The sequence below is a fragment of the Homo sapiens genome, chromosome 10 (genome assembly GCF_000001405.40).
Source record: "Homo sapiens chromosome 10, GRCh38.p14 Primary Assembly".
NCBI classification, from domain to species: Eukaryota; Metazoa; Chordata; class Mammalia; order Primates; family Hominidae; genus Homo; species Homo sapiens.
The window spans coordinates 100,206,368-100,222,741 of record NC_000010.11 but is presented as its reverse complement, the minus strand read 5'-3'; the positions used below and the strand labels follow the sequence as shown (position 1 = coordinate 100,222,741).

General features: G+C 38.2%; 1 protein-coding gene across 17 annotated transcripts in view; it reads left to right on the top strand.

Annotated features, from left to right (window-relative positions):
• The window catches only part of CHUK (component of inhibitor of nuclear factor kappa B kinase complex), a 43,278-nt gene that overhangs the window by 6,855 nt on the left and 20,049 nt on the right, over positions 1-16,374 (top strand). For 14 of the 17 annotated variants that reach the window (NR_199800.1, NR_199799.1, NR_199802.1 and 11 more), the window contains 8 exons: positions 561-630; positions 2,066-2,154; positions 3,383-3,472; positions 3,610-3,734; positions 3,917-4,024; positions 4,612-4,747; positions 12,953-13,147; positions 15,410-15,512. Coding sequence is in view for 9 of the 17 variants with exons in the window: in XM_047424542.1 (XP_047280498.1) it covers positions 561-630; positions 2,066-2,154; positions 3,383-3,472; positions 3,610-3,734; positions 3,917-4,024; positions 4,612-4,747; positions 12,953-13,147; positions 15,410-15,512 (916 nt within the window). In the remaining 8 variants the exon portion in view is untranslated. The remainder of the gene's footprint in view (positions 1-560; positions 631-2,065; positions 2,155-3,382; positions 3,473-3,609; positions 3,735-3,916; positions 4,025-4,611; positions 4,748-12,952; positions 13,148-15,409; positions 15,513-16,374) is intronic. The other 3 variants (NR_199797.1, NM_001441064.1, NM_001441066.1) reach the window with 2 other exon arrangements.

Sequence of the window (16,374 nt, the reverse complement as noted above, 5' to 3'; positions counted from 1 at the left end):
TAAAGTTTTATTGGAACACAGCCACATTCATTTCTTTACACATTGTCTATGGCTGCTTTCTTATGGCTGCAGAAGTGAGTAGTTTTAACAGAGACTATGTGACTTGCAAAACCTAAAGTATTTACCATATGGTTCCTTACAGAAAATGTTGACTCCTGATTTAGAAAATGCATTTTTGTTGTTGCTGTTTGATGGGACTATAGCAATGGTGTTAGATGAAAATTTCAGTGGTTAAGGTGCTTATAAAAAGTTGTTTTCTGTATTGCAATCTTTTTTTTCTACCTAATTTTAAATGTGCCCATATGACCATTTTTATATATATCCATGAGATTTGTCAGCCTTTTCCAGTTTCAAATGCTTTTTGCCTCTTTTTACTTTTATGAGCCTTATCATGAAATTTACATGCCCTCAGTATGGATTTGGTAATTTTATTCCCTTGTATTTTATTATGACTTATTTTCTCATTTGAATATTCTTTTAGAGTATAGTAATTAATGTGTGGTCACTATTGCAGCCCAGCAATTTGCAGAACAGATTTTTAGATTTCTTTCTTTTTTTAGCTGCTCAACAAACCAGAAAATTGTTGTGGACTTAAAGAAAGCCAGATACTTTCTTTACTAAGTGATATAGGTACGTATCAGTATTAAAATACCATTGTAATGTAATGTCCCTTTGGCCCATAAAAGATCTTTTTGGGAATTCAGGAGAATTGTTGATACACTATACAAAGTCTATAGAATTTCAACATCTATAAGAAGTTATAAAAATCTATTACTATTGATGCTAAATTAAAACTAGGATATTTTGGCTAGGTGCGGTGGCTCACGCCTGTAATCCCAGCACTTTGGGAGGCCAAGGTAGGCGGATCACAAGGTCAGGAGTTCAAGACCAGCCTGGCCAACATAGTGAAACCCCATCTCTACTAAAAATACAAAAATTAGCTGGGCACAATGCCGCATGCCTGTAGTCCCAGCTACTCGGGAGGCTGAGGCAGGAGAATCGCTTGAACCCAGGAGATAGAGGTTGCAGTGAGCCGAGATTGCACCACTGCACTCCAGCTTGGACAACAGAGTGAGACTTTGTCACACACACACAAAAAGAAACTAGGATATTTTATTATTTATTTGTGGCTAAGAGTCCTTTTTTTGTCTAATAGATGTTCCAATAGCTGACAAAAAAATCATGTGAAATGACCTTACTCAATTTCTCTCCCCCCCTACCATTGACATAGTAATTTTGTTTACAGTGGAATTACATCTCCTTGAGGGATGGGTCCTCAAGTCAACTCTTTTTTGTTTGTTTGTTTTGAGACGGAGTCTAGCTCTGTTGCCCAGGCTGGAGTGCAGTGGTGCGATCTCAGCTTACTGTAACCTCTGCCTCCCAGGTTCAAGCGATTCTCCTGCCTCAGCCTCCCGAGTAGCTGGGATTACAGGTGCCCGCCATCACACCTGGCTAATTTTTGTATTTTTAACAGAGACGGGGTTTCACTGTGTTGGCCAGGCTGGTCTCAAACTCCTGACCTCGTGATCTGCCCGCCTCGGCCTCCCAAAGTGCTGGGATTACAAGCGTGAGCCACCGCACCCAGCCAAGTCAACTCTTCAGGGTGAAAAATCTCTGCTTAATCAGAATGACTCCAGAAAAATTCCTAAAATAACCAGTACCTAACCTTTTGGAGGAACCTCAAAAACCAAAAATTTGTTTCCCCATAGATTTTGGTTTTGCCTCTTTTCCAAGGTCATGAGGGCTAAAGTCCAATTGAAATGAGTGATTTAGGTGGGAGAAAGAGGCTTATAAGAGTTTCAGGGATTTTCCCAATTGCTTGTTGCATTTCTATTTGGTGTTAATTCTAATGAGTTAAATGAACATATAGTATAATTTTGTAGTATTTGTTTAATGTTACTTTTTTTTCTGTGAAGAAAACCTGGACACTGTAGTATTAGTTGTGTAGTTACGATGATCCATATAAACTTGAGCATCAGAGTAGATTTGTACAAAATGTGAGGTGAATTTTTCTTTTAACTCAATGATTTCTGTTACTTTAAAGTATATTTTAAACTTTATTTAGGGTCTGGGATTCGATATTTGCATGAAAACAAAATTATACATCGAGATCTAAAACCTGAAAACATAGTTCTTCAGGATGTTGGTGGAAAGGTAGGTGAAACCTGAAGTAATGTTTCATGCCTATTGAATATAGTCTCTCTGATATAGTTAGTCCTTGAGCTTTGGTGTCTTTGCTGTATGCCCATAACAGTCTTACTTTTTCCATTTCAGACCTCACCACACTGAACTGTAGTTTTGTGTTTAGTTTTTTTGTCCCTTCTGCTAAACAGTGGTTCCATCAGAGAAGGAACAGCACCTGCTTTTTTTTTCTTTTTCTTTTTTTTCATTTTTCATACTTAACCCAGCTCCTAGACTTCACCTGTCTTGTTCAAGTCTGTTTTTCCATCATAGTATCTAGCAAAGATACAGGCTGTGAATACATAATATGTTAACACTTATTATTTTATTCTTATGAAGCACATCCAAAACACATACATGCACATCCTGGGTCCACTTTAAGAAAAAAAAGAAAGTATATATATTTTTAAAACTTATTTTCCTTCCCCCAATTTAAATGAGTCATCTGGAGAAGAACCAGAAATTGTGAATTGACTCTTAAAATGTTCATTTCATTGGTAACTTAAGCAGTTTTCTTGTTTCCAGCATCCAAATTTCATTCCAATAAAGACTTAAAGGCCAAGAGTCTGAACCTTGTGTTGAGTTGTGTGTGCCGTCTCTTTAGTTAGTGAAAATAGTTGTTGGCCTCTTGGAGGTGTTGGAACCTTGGTGATGCCTCTTCTCTTAGGAACCTTTCACGTATGCTTGGCACCAAATATCTCTGCTTTTTTTTTTTTTAATCCAAAGACTTCAGGACATTCCTGAAGTTAGATCTAAGTATTTACTCACATTTAATCTACTATAAGGAGGTATGATGCTTCTTCAAGTTTGGAAGTCACCCTTGCCTTTACTTTCCAGTTTAATGGATTGAGCTTATTTTGAATATAGTAAAATAAAAATTAATAGCCCACCTGTATTCAATTTTTACCATGTACCAAGCACTGTGTTACCTTCTTTACTTTCGTTATTTCATTGGATCCTAATAACAATTCTGTGAAGCAGGGACTGTTAGTCATCCAATTAGATTACTGAGAGAGGTTAAATAACTTGGTAGATCACATGCCTAGTTAAGTGGTGGCACTCAGACTTGAAATATTTTTGTGTTATTACAGAGCCCAAGGTCCTCACCACTACCCTGTCTACAGCCTCGTAAGGATATTGTTGTCTTTCCTTTTTAAATTTCTCTACCATTTAATACTTAATCTGTCTTATTATTTTGCAGATAATACATAAAATAATTGATCTGGGATATGCCAAAGATGTTGATCAAGGAAGTCTGTGTACATCTTTTGTGGGAACACTGCAGTATCTGGTGAGACCTGTTTTGTTTCTTTGAATTTAAGTGTGTATAGGATTCTCTTATTTCTGAAGATCATGAATATAGTAGGTCAAAAATAAAGTAGCTTTTCCCATACAGTGTTGGTGTTTAAAGCATTTTCTCTTTTGAAGGCCCCAGAGCTCTTTGAGAATAAGCCTTACACAGCCACTGTTGATTATTGGAGCTTTGGGACCATGGTATTTGAATGTATTGCTGGATATAGGCCTTTTTTGCATCATCTGCAGCCATTTACCTGGTAAGAAATGGATGAGAACTTGGGCATGCTTAATGGGAATGGAAATTTTTTCATTTGTCTTTTTTTTTCTTTCTTTAATTGTTTAATTGCCTTTGAAATATACAATTAAATATAATTAAATGGCAAGAAATCTTAATTTGTGAGAATCACTTTGTCAACTGAGGTAGCTTTTGATTTTATAGGCATGAGAAGATTAAGAAGAAGGATCCAAAGTGTATATTTGCATGTGAAGAGATGTCAGGAGAAGTTCGGTTTAGTAGCCATTTACCTCAACCAAATAGCCTTTGTAGGTAAGTATATTTTAGTTAAGGAAGTTTGCCTCAGTTTCTCCAGAGTTGTAAAGGAGCAGGAGAGTAGTTGTCTGTTTCAAGTTGCATTATCCAGTAGAACTTTCTGTGATGATGTAGAAACCTTCTATATTTCTGTTGGCCACATGAGGTTATTGACTACTTGACATGTAGCTAGTTTGGCTAGAGAACGAATTTTGAATAAATAGTAAATATAAATAGCCACTTGGGACTAGTGGCTACCATTTTGGACAGCACAGGTCTGGTGGAAACAAGAACTGCCATTTAACTGTTTGACATATGTCCTAAGAAGGCTCTTAGGATAATGAAGTAAATGGGTTATTTGCAGAATGGATTTGGACTCATCCGTCAGAGTTGTCAGTAACTAACATATGTGGAGTTTTGAGTAGTTTTTGATGGAAAAAAGTTTGTCCCCTGTCATTTCATGAATTTGAAAGTAATTTATGAAATGGTACAGACAAGTGATGTGGGAAAGAAAATGGACAACCTGCAAAATTACCTTTCTAACAGTATAAAGGGAAATTGGAACATAATGATTTGATTTTCACCCTATTTTGTATGTTTTCTAGTTTAGTAGTAGAACCCATGGAAAACTGGCTACAGTTGATGTTGAATTGGGACCCTCAGCAGAGAGGAGGACCTGTTGACCTTACTTTGAAGCAGCCAAGATGTTTTGTATTAATGGATCACATTTTGAATTTGAAGGTTAGTCTTAATGGGTCTACTGCATAAGACCAGCATTGAAAGTAACAAGTTTATTTGGAAAATTAGCATAAATACAGTTTAATAATCTTTTCCTGTTGCTTATTTATTTATTTATTTTGAGACAGGGTCTCACTCTGTCACCTAGGCTGGAGTGCAGTGGCATGTTTTTGGCTCACTGCAACCTGCGCCTCCCAGGTTCAAGCGATTCTCTTGCCTCAGCCTCCCGAGTAGTTGGGACTAAAGGTGTGCACCACCATGCCCAGCTAATTTTTGTATTTTTAGTAGAGGTAGGGTTTCGCTATGTTGTCCAGGCTGGTCTCGCACTCCTGACCTCAGGTGATCTGCCCGCCTCCACCTCCCAAAGTGGGATTACAGGCGTGAGCCATTGCGTCCAGCCCTGATGCTTATTTGAAAAAGAAAATTATATTCTTAGAGCTGATTTTTTAAAAAGTTTATTTAGCAAGCTGTCTCAGTTTGCTTCTCTGTGGTCTTTGTTAATTACTCCTTTGAAGCAACTTTTTTATTTACCTTTTCCCATGTTGTTGCCATTATCCTCGATTCATTTATGTCTAGTCATACTGGATTTGATTTGGTAAGGAAGGTTCCTATCTGCCTTTCATGGCTCTGCACTTACTCCTTAACCTATAGTTCATTCAATATGTACTACCTATCTCATCTTCTGAAAATGCTTTTTTATTCTTCTGCCCAAGAAACTAACATAGTTCTTTTTTTTTTTTTTTTTAACAAGTCAAGTGTAAACTGATCTGCTTGGTTTTTTGGGGGGGCTTTCCCTAACCAAGTTTTGCCTTGTACCTGCTTCTCTTAACCTTTACCTCATACAAGACCAGCTTGTCACTGCTCCTTATGCCTCAAACCCGTTATCTACCTTTGTGCTTTGACAGATGCTATCCTTCTGCCTGGATATCCATTTCTGTGTATCTTCTCACCTACACTGGCATATCTTTAAGAGCTTTTCTTTAAATGGTCTCTGCCACAAAATTTGTCATTTAAAGGCTATATTCTCTTTCTCGTCTTCCATTCATGCATCTTCATATAGACTGTTGTCTTCTTCAATGTTGGGATTGTTTTACTTCTTTTATTAACAATCACCCACCCTACCCTTCCTAACCATGGCATTCTGTACAGAGCAGGGCATGTATCAGGTTCTTAGTAAATTATTTATTGATATGAATGAGAGCTATAGATAGTTCTATTATGCAGTGTACCCAGAAACAACTCTCATCAATAGTCTTTACATTTGTATTGATTGTTTGTAGTATACAGGTTTCTAAAATTGAAATGAGAAATTATAATCATGTAATGTTGGAGTACATGGCGAGATAGCTCACTTTAGTCTGCAACCCCTGAGCTCAAGTGATTCTCCTGCTTCAGCCTCCAGAGTAAATGGGACTACAGGTGTGCGCCACCTCTCCTGCCTAATTTTTAAATTTTTGGTAGAAATGGGGTCTCACTGTGTTGAGCAGGTTGGTTTTGAACTCCTGGCCTCAAGTAATCCTCCTACCTCGACTTCCCAAAGTGCTGAGATTACAGATGTGGGCTACTGTGCCCGACCTTGGCATACTTTATTAAATAGAAACTTGAGGCCATGTGGATGTCATTCTTGGCTAACACTGAAAAGATACCTGGCTTCTTCTTGATTTGGTTTCCTTCTAATGTGCCAAAGAATAAATTATCCCTCAGTGTGTTAGGAAAGCAGGGCTTTAGTTCTGTGTTGCCTCTGAAACATTTCAGCTGTGAATGAACCACATCTCGCATTTGTTTCATACTTGTCATAGGAATCATAGCATAGTTTCTGCTCTGAAGGGCATCTGTGAGCCTCTTGTTATAGGGCACGGGGAAAGAGTCCACATTATGGAGTTTATAGTTTACAGACTTTAATTCAGTTTGCAGCACCACTATTTACCTATCTGTGAACCTGAGCAAATGTCTCTCTATCTCAAGGACAGTAATATCTTCCTCAAAGCATCAATATTATTATGAGGTTATGCAGAATAAGGTATGTATAAGGTACTAGTTATAGTAGTTCAAGAAGCTTCAAGGATGCTTGTTAGACATGATAATAGGACTGAATTTTGAAGAATGAGAGTTTTTAGGGAAAGGGTGAGGGCGGGAGAGATTTATAGGCAGCAGAGCATCATGAGCAAAAGTACAGAAGCATGAACTGCAAAACAGCTTGGTGTTACTGTAGGACATTTTCCCAAAATGTTTATATATATTGTACAAGAAAGGAATGATGTCTGTTTGATTTTCACTTAAAAAAGGAAGCAACAAAACAGTTACTGAAATATTTCCCTTTTGAAAAAATAGCTTAGCAAGTCTGATTGTATGCATATTTTCCAACTGTTTATTATGAACATCTTTAGATATGTAGAAGAGTTGAAAGAAGTGTACTGAACCTACCACTAAAAATAATGATGAAACAGTAGCATTTAATTATTATTTTTTTTTGCCTCCTCTTTCACGCCCCTAAATGTAACTATATTCTGAGTCTCTTCTTGGTTCTCTCTTTTTCCATTACATTTCCTTTCTTTTATTAGGCAGCCTCTTCAACTGTATAGCTTTACTTATAAACTACATATGGCTAACTCCTAAAGTTATTTATCTCTGTAGCTGTGACTCTTCTGCCAAGGACTTATAACTGCTGTATAACTGTATAACTACCTGGCTGTTCCACTGGCACTTACAACTTAATTTATTAAAAACTGAACATATTTGTTCTATCCATTAAATCTACTTCTTTTTTTTTTTTTTTTTTTTTTGATATGGAGCCTCACTCTGTCTCACGATCTCAACTCACTGCAACCTACACCTCCTGGGTTCAAGTGATTCTCGTGCCTCAGCCTCCCGAGTAGCTGGGATTACAGGTGCCTGCCACCGTGTCCAGCTAATTTTTATATTTTTGGTAGAAATGGGGTTTCACCATGTTGGCCAGGCTGGTCTTGACACCCTGACCTCAGGTGATCTGCTCACCTCGGCCTTCCAAAGTGCTGGGATTACAGGCATGAGCCACTGCACCTGGCCCATTAAATCTACCTCTATAGATTTCCTACACTTCTTATTTGCACTGTCACCTTTCCAGTTACCCAGGTGGGAAACTTTGGATGTGTTGACTCTTCCTTTCTCTTCAATCGATATATCCAATTATTTTATCAAATTTATCTTTTGAATATCTTAACAATTTTGAGCTTGCCAGGTTCTCAATTTAGAAAGGCTTGCATAGTTTTCTTTCACTTATTGAATAAAGTCCAGACCCTTTCATTGGTACTCAAAACCTATCTTGGTTTCATATCAACTTACACTCCTGGACTTATCTCTTACTAATGCCCTGAGAGGCCATCATTTTAGGTACATTTGAACTGGATTAATTGTATTCTCTGATTATGCCCATCCCTTTCTACTTTTCTGCTTCTGCTCACCTTGTTTTCTGCCTAAAGGAACTCTTTTCAGTCTTTTCCCATTTCAGTCTTTCATTTCAAAGTTTAGCTCAAGTAGTGCCTCCTTTATGAAGTGCCTGCTTCCTACTGCCAAGTGTATGATACTTTACACTGATTATAACACCTATCACATTTTGCCTGGTACCTTAGTTCTCTTAGTATATCTTAATATCTTCTGTTTGACTATAACTGTATGGAAGGCAAGGATCATAAGGTACTCAGTTTGTATACCCACTACTACCACCACAACACACTTAATAGTATGTACCAATAGTATGTACCTACCAATAGTAGGTACTCATTAAATATTATAGTGAGCAAAAAGATAAATTTAGGTTGTATTTCCTCTTCTTTCTTTTGCTTCCTTCTGGCCTGGAGCTTTGGTAGTGAGATGCCATGATGACATACTCTAATATCCTGTGTAAAAGTAGATGTCCATTATAGGATTTTCTATTGCTATAAGTGGCAGCTGTCATAGTGTGAAATCTGCCTAAATTGGGAAGGCATGGAAAGTCTCAGGTAGTATAATTGTATTGCAAATCCGTATCAGTTTTGAAGATTTCCCTACTCCCCTTTTAAACATAAAGATTTATATTAAAGAAAAGTCTCTTAATAAGAGAAATACTGGCAATTGTGTTATGACATTTGGAATTCACATGAAAAGGATCAGCTTCAGGTTATAAAAACAGTTTGGTATTTCTTTTTTAAAATTTTGTTGATACAGGTGTGGTGGCTCATGCCTGTAATCCCAGCACTTTGGGAGGTGGAGGCAGGCAGATCACTTGAGGTCTGGAGTTCGAGACCAGCCTGGCCAACATGGTGAAACCCCATCTCTACTAAGAATACAAAAATTAGCCAGGGATGGTGGTGCATGCCTGTAGTCCCAGCTACACGGGAGGCTGAGGCAGAAGAGTTGCTTGAACCTGGGAGGTGGAGGCTGCATTGAACCAAGATCGCACCACTGCACTCCAGCCTGGGTGACAGAGAGAGACTCTGTCTCAAAAACAAACAAACAAAATTGTTAATACGCTTTTAATTTTTTTTTTTTTTTTTGAGATAAGAGTCTTGTTCTATCACCCAGGCTAGAGTACCATGGTGCAATCTCCACTCACTGCAACTTTCACCTCCCAGACTCAAGTGATTCTCTCGTGCCTCAGCCTCCCGCGTAGTTGGAATTACAGGTGTGCGCCATCATGGCCAACTAATTTTTTGTGTGTTTTTAGTAGAGACAGGGTTTTGCCATGTTGGCCAGGATGTTCTCAAACTCCTGTCCTCAAGTGATCTACCTGTCTTGGCCTCCCAAAGGGCTGGGATTACAGGTGTGAGCCACCGCGCCCAGCCTAATTTTTTAAATTGACAAATAATTATACAAATTAATGGGGTAAATAGTGATGTTTCAATACATGCACTGTGTAGTGATCAGATTAGGGTAATTAGCATATCCATCAGCTAAAACATAATTTCTCTGTGTTGGGAATATTCAGTATCCCTTTCTTTTTTCTTTTTTTTTCTTTTTCTTCTTTCTTTTTTTTTTTTTTTGAGACAAAGTCTCACTCTGTCGCCTGGAGTGCAGTGGCGCGATCTTGGCTCACTGCAGCCTTGATCTCCCAGGTTCAGGCGATTCTCCTGCCTCAGCCTTCTGAGTAGCTGGGATTATAGGCGTTGTGCCACCAAGCCCAGCTAATTTTTGTGTTTTTAGTAGAGACAAGGTTTCACCATGTTGGCCAGGCTGGTCTTGAACTCCTGACCTTAAGTGATCTACTTGTCTTGTAATCCCAAAGTGCTGGGATTACAGGCGTGAGCCACCACGCCCAGCCTCAGTTTAGTATTTCTGTAGCACCACTTATTTGGGCATCTGTGTTAGGATTTGTAAGTGGAAATAATAGTGGGCCTTCAAACTAAAAAGTGTACAGTAGAAAAAATAATCAACAAAACGAAAAAGCAACCCAACCCATGGATTGGGAAAAGATATTTGCATACCATACATCCAATAAGAAATTAATATCCTAAATTTATAAGAAACTCATGCAACTCAATACCAAAAATGTAAATAACCCAATTTAAAAATGTGCAAAGGACCTGAATTAGACACTTCTCAAAAGAAGAAATTCAGATGGTCAACAAACATATGAAAAGGTGCTCAACAACTCTTAGCATCAGGGCGATGCAAATCAAAACCACACTAAGATATCACCCCCCACCTGTTGGGATGGCTATTATCCAAAAGAAAAAAGATAAGCGTTAGTGAGGATGTGGGAGAAAAGAAATCCCTTGTACACTGTTGGTGGGAATGTAAATTATTACAGCTATTGTGGGAAACAGTACAAAGGTTCCTCAAAATTAAAAATAGAACTACTGGCCGGGCATGGTGGCTCATGCCTGTAATCCCAGCACTTTGGGAGGTTGAGACAGGTGGATCACATGAGGCCAGGAGTTCGAGACCAGACTGGGCAACATGCAGAAACCCCATCTCAACTAAAATTACAAAAATTAGCTGGGCATGGTGGTGCACATCTGTAATCCCAGCTACTCCGTAGGCTGAGGCAGGATAATTGCTTGAATTCAGGAGGTGGAAGTTGTAGTGAGCTGAGAGATCATGCCACTGCACATCAGCCTGCGTGACACAGCAAGACTCTGTCTCAAAAGAAAAAAAAAAAAAATAGAACTGTAAGATTCAACAATGTCATTTCTTGGTATATATCCAAAGGATTTTAAAGCAGGCTTGTGAAGAGATATTTGCACTCCCATGTTCATTGCAGCATTATTCACAATAGTCAAGATCTGGAAATAGCCTAAATGTCCTTTGACAGATGAATGGATAGGGAAAAAGTGGTATATATACACAGTGGAATAGTATTCAACCTTAAGAAAAAGAAGGAAATTCTGCCATTTAGGACAATGTGGATGAACCTGGAGGACATGTTAAGTAAAATAAGCAAGTCACAGAAAGAGAAATACTGCGTGATCTCACTTACATGTGGAATCTATAATAGTTAAATTTAATAGAAGCAGACCATAGCATCATAGTTGCCAGGGGCTGCAGGGATGCGGGTGCGGGGGTGTATGTAGAGATGTTTATCAAAAGGTCCAAAAATTACGGCAGCAAAAGAAAAAAAAGGTACAAAAATGACAACTATGAAGAGGTGACAGATATATTAATTAGCTGAAATGTGATAATTTCACAACGTATATCAAAACATCAAGTTGTATAACTCAAATATATAACATTTTTATATGTCAAATTAAATTGTCACAAAATAAAATATGTAAAAGATAAAGCAATAAATCAGGAGAGGGGGTTATGATAGATGAAACAAGATAGGCTCTATGTAAATGATGGTTGAAACTAGGTGAGGCATTCACAGGGTTGGGAGGGGGCTTATTGTACTGTTGTCTATAGTTTTGTGTCTTTGAAAACATCAATTCAGATTTGTGTTTTAAAGGGAAAAAAATAATAGTGGACTTGGATTAATGCCTTACCTTTGTAGTAAGGATTTTCAGCAGAGAGAATTTTAATCATTTGCATATACTAGTCAATGTAAGGCATGGAGAATGTAGGCATTAATTTCGTATGGCTTTTCTAAGGATACTGGAAGGAAGAGAATTTAAAATCATGTTCTTTTCAAAAGACTGAAGTCCAACTCTGTGGCTGTCCGCGCTGACAGGTGGGGACAGAGCCCCACCTGACTCAGCCTCACACTCACTTGGCATGTATCAGGCTACTTTTACTGGGGCTTTAGGTGAGAGTGATAAAACGGTTCTTACTTGATTTGGGGCCCTTAAGCAGGTTGCTGCTCTGGGATTAGGTTGTCTTATAAAAAGGTAACTCACCACGCATAACAATGCTTTTTCCTGTTTAAAGAGAGACCTAGTTCTTCTATCAGATGATTTCTTAAGGCAGCATGAAGTAGCCAGACACAAAAAGAGTTAAGATCCAAGCTCTACCAGTTATTAGCTGTGTGATCCCTAACAAGTTATTTAACTTAGAACTCTGGTTTCTTTCTCTGTTTAAAATGGAGATTAAAAGATCTAATTATTGGGGATGTTATGTGAAAGTGGTTTATGCCTGTGGTTGTCTTCTGTTAGGCACTTCATGAATTGGAATGTTTCCTTTTCGGTCTATGATAATGTTTTTTTCAAAATAAATAACTTAGGCCGGGCGCGGTGGCTCACGCCTGTAATCCCAGCACTTTGGGAGGCCGAGGCGGGCGGATCACGAGGTCAGGAGATCGAGACCATCCCGGCTAAAACGGTGAAACCCCGTCTCTACTAAAAATACAAAAAATTAGCCGGGCGTAGTGGCGGGCGCCTGTAGTCCCAGCTACTTGGGAGGCTGAGGCAGGAGAATGGCGTGAACCCGGGAGGCGGAGCTTGCAGTGAGCCGAGATCCCGCCACTGCACTCCAGCCTGGGCGACAGAGCGAGACTCCGTCTCAAAAAAAAAAAAAATAAATAAATAAATAAATAAATAAATAACTTGTTCTTTCAAATTGGGATTTTTCTTAATTTTGAAAATTTCTTAACTTTGAAATTTTATTGTTGGAACTAACATCTATTGTAGAAAAGGAAATTGTTCAGTTTTCAGAATGTCATTTTATAATTATAAAAGGAGATCTCACTTTGGAGAATGAGTGAGCCTTGTTTAATGTAGAAATAATGCCTTTTGCCCATATTCACCTTTTAGTATCTGGCAGCGAATCTTTTATGTAACAAATAATCAATAACTTTACCTTTTTTTCTTATTTATACAGATAGTACACATCCTAAATATGACTTCTGCAAAGATAATTTCTTTTCTGTTACCACCTGATGAAAGTCTTCATTCACTACAGTCTCGTATTGAGCGTGAAACTGGAATAAATACTGGTTCTCAAGAACTTCTTTCAGAGACAGGAATTTCTCTGGATCCTCGGAAACCAGCCTCTCAATGTGTTCTAGATGGAGTTGTAAGAAAATTAATTATAATATCCCTAGAGTATGTGAAATCTAGAGGGATTGCGTGCCCTGCAATTTTTATGCATACTTGGAATTCCTTGGGAGGCCGCACATTTTGTTTTGGTTTTGTCCTTCTCCCAACTCTTATCATTGCTTTGCAAGGTGAACAGGATAGAAATGAAACATTTGTTGTTTTGAACTTTGCAAGACTTTTTCTTTGGTGCCAGTTTTCTGCTCCTGTTCCCAGACCAAACTGAGGGTCAGGCTGCTTACTCTCGCGGCCCAATAACGAGATGCAGATGAATTGGGAGAGATGGGAGTTTTTATTTCTGTAACCAGTTACAGGTAGAAGGCCTGGAAATTACCGCCAGACCAACTCAAAATTACAAAGTTTTTCCGTAGTTTATTTATCTTCTAAGCTATATGTCTATGTGTAAGTTTGCATTCATCTAAAGACATAAGTGATTAACTTCTTTTAATCTGTAGCTGAGGTCTGAGTCTTGAAGACATTCCTCTGGAGCCTCAGTAAATTTACTTACTCTAAATGGGTCCAGGTGCTGGGGTGATTACCCTTATCTTGTCTCCTATTAAATCACAGAGGTTTAAGGAGTTCCTTCAGACCCCCAATAAACTTGTTTGTGGAGGCCTGGGGTTTCTTCAGACCCCCAATAAAACTTATTTAATTCTGAACGGGTCCTGTTAAGAATTCCTTTGTTATTTTGCTTTTAGGCCTGGGAAAGGCCTGGGCAGAACTCTTGGTAGGCTTTGGCTACATTTCAGCCTTTGTGTAAGGGCACTGGCTCTTCCAGTTTTTTTTTTTTTTAGACAGTCTTGCTCTGTTGCCCAGGCTGAAGTGCAATGGCACAATCTCAGCTCACTGCAACCTCCGCCTCCTGGGTTCAAGTGATTCTCCCTGCCACAGCCTCCCAAGTAGCTGGGATTATAGGTGCCCACCACCATGCCTAGCTAATTTTTTGTATCTTTAGTAGAGACGGGGTTTTGCCACTCCTGACCGACCTCAGGCGATCTGCCTACCTCGGCCTCCTGAAGTGTTGGGATTACAGGCGTGAGCCACTGCACCCGGCCACTCTTTCAGCTTTTAATATTTAACTTCACCACTCAGTCGTGCTGAAACAGTTGTTATTTAGGCCTGCATTAGTGAGACCTGGCCTGCCACACTCCCAGTTAATATTCCTTCTTGGCTTGGTGCAGTGGCCCATGCCTGTAATCCCGGGACTTTGGGAACCCAAGGTGGGTGGATTGCTGAGTTCAAGAGTTCGAGACCTGCCTGAGCAACATGTTGAAGCCCTGTCTCTACAAAAACTACAAAAATTAGCGGGGTTTGGTGGTGCACCCCTGTAGTCCTAGCTACTTGGGAGATTGAGGTGGGAGAATCACTTGAGCCCAGGGAGGTTGAGGCTGCAATGAGCCATGATCACGCCGCTGCACTCCAGCATGGGTGACAGAGCAAGACCCTGTCTCAAAAAAAAAAATTTCTTTTTGTATTTGAAGCCCAGTACTCTGAAACTACTGTGAGAACAGCAGTCTCATAGGTCCTGCCAAAGGATAAATGGGTGGTAAAATATGACTGTGGTCATGACTTTTTCCCCCATTTTTCTTTTTATGACTTTATTGAGGCATATTATCATGTTAGTTCCCATTTAAGGTGTACAATATAGTGATTTTTTATTTCTTTTTTATTAACTTGTCACTGACTTGATGCTCAATTACAGTGATTTTTTTTTAAAGTAAATTTACCAAATTTTGCAGCTGTCACCATAAATCAGCTTAAAAACATTTCCATTAACAGTCCATTAACTGTTAATCTCCATTCTGTCCACCCCAGGAAACCAGGAATCTATTTTTTATCTCCACAAGTTTGCCTTTTCTGAACATTCCATATAAATGGAATTATGTAATATATAGTCTTGTGTCTGACTTTTTTTACTTGCCTTGTATTTTTGAAGCCCGTGCATGTTGTAGCATGTATCAGTACTTCATTCGTTTTGATTACCGATTAGTTTTTTCACTGTATATATCTTTTTGCATTTGTTCTTTGGGTTTTGGTGATTGTTCACTTTAGCCCATACAAAAGTTTGGGTCTTTTTTCCTCAACAAAAGTTTGGACTCTGTTATCTGTAAGAGATATGGTAATACACATTGATTTTGTTCATTTGCATTTCAAAGTAGGAAATCTGGTGCATAAGTATTTAGAAAACCTAGGATTTTCAAAGATCCTTGAACAGGATTTTAACTGTTTGTTTCTTTTTCAGAGAGGCTGTGATAGCTATATGGTTTATTTGTTTGATAAAAGTAAAACTGTATATGAAGGGCCATTTGCTTCCAGAAGTTTATCTGATTGTGTAAATTATATTGGTAAGTCCAGTCCATTTAGTGGCTGAGCTTTAAACATGAATTAATATAACTTTGACTCTCAGTATGATTAGTAGAAATGGACTTTTGGTGTTGTGTTCTGTATCTCATACTTGAAGTTTCTATATGGAGTTATATGAGAACTCTGAAAAATGGATTTATATAGTTTGGAAGGTGAAAAGGTAGATATTAAATCTCCATGAGATCATTCAAGAGAAGATTTACTTTCTTGAGGATAGGGCTCTCACAGGAGAATGAAACTTCACTATTAGTTGAACCTGCTTTTTAATTGTCTCTTCATAGTCTAAGCATGTTCAAGTATTTATTTCATTTTTCCTGTGAATACTGCTTGATGTTCAAATGTTTTAATTTATCCTGTGAAAATTATTCTTTTCTTTTGAACAAGTTAAGTGTTTGATCACTGTATATCTGTCCAAATAAAGTAAAGCACAAAATTGTAAAATCAAGAACAAAATTGAGCAGAGGGGCTAAAATGTATGTAATCTTACTTTTTTAAAAGTCTTTTTATTAGTTTTCTTTTGAATTTTTCTTTTAAATTGAGGCAGTTTACATAGAGTGAAATTCACAGATCATATAGTTTGATAACTTTTGACAAATTTAGATACTTGTGTAATCCACACCACAGTCATCATGTAGAACATTTCTTTCACCTTAGAAAGTTCCCTCATGTCTCTTTTCAGTCAACTCCCCTTGCCCCAGACTTTATTACTATTTTACTAATGGACTTTTTTTTTTTAAGAATGGTTTTAGATTTGCCAAAAAATTGGGCAGATAGTACAGAGTTCTCATATAACTCCCCTCACTCACGCATGTAGTTTTTCCTATTGTTAACATTTTACCTGGG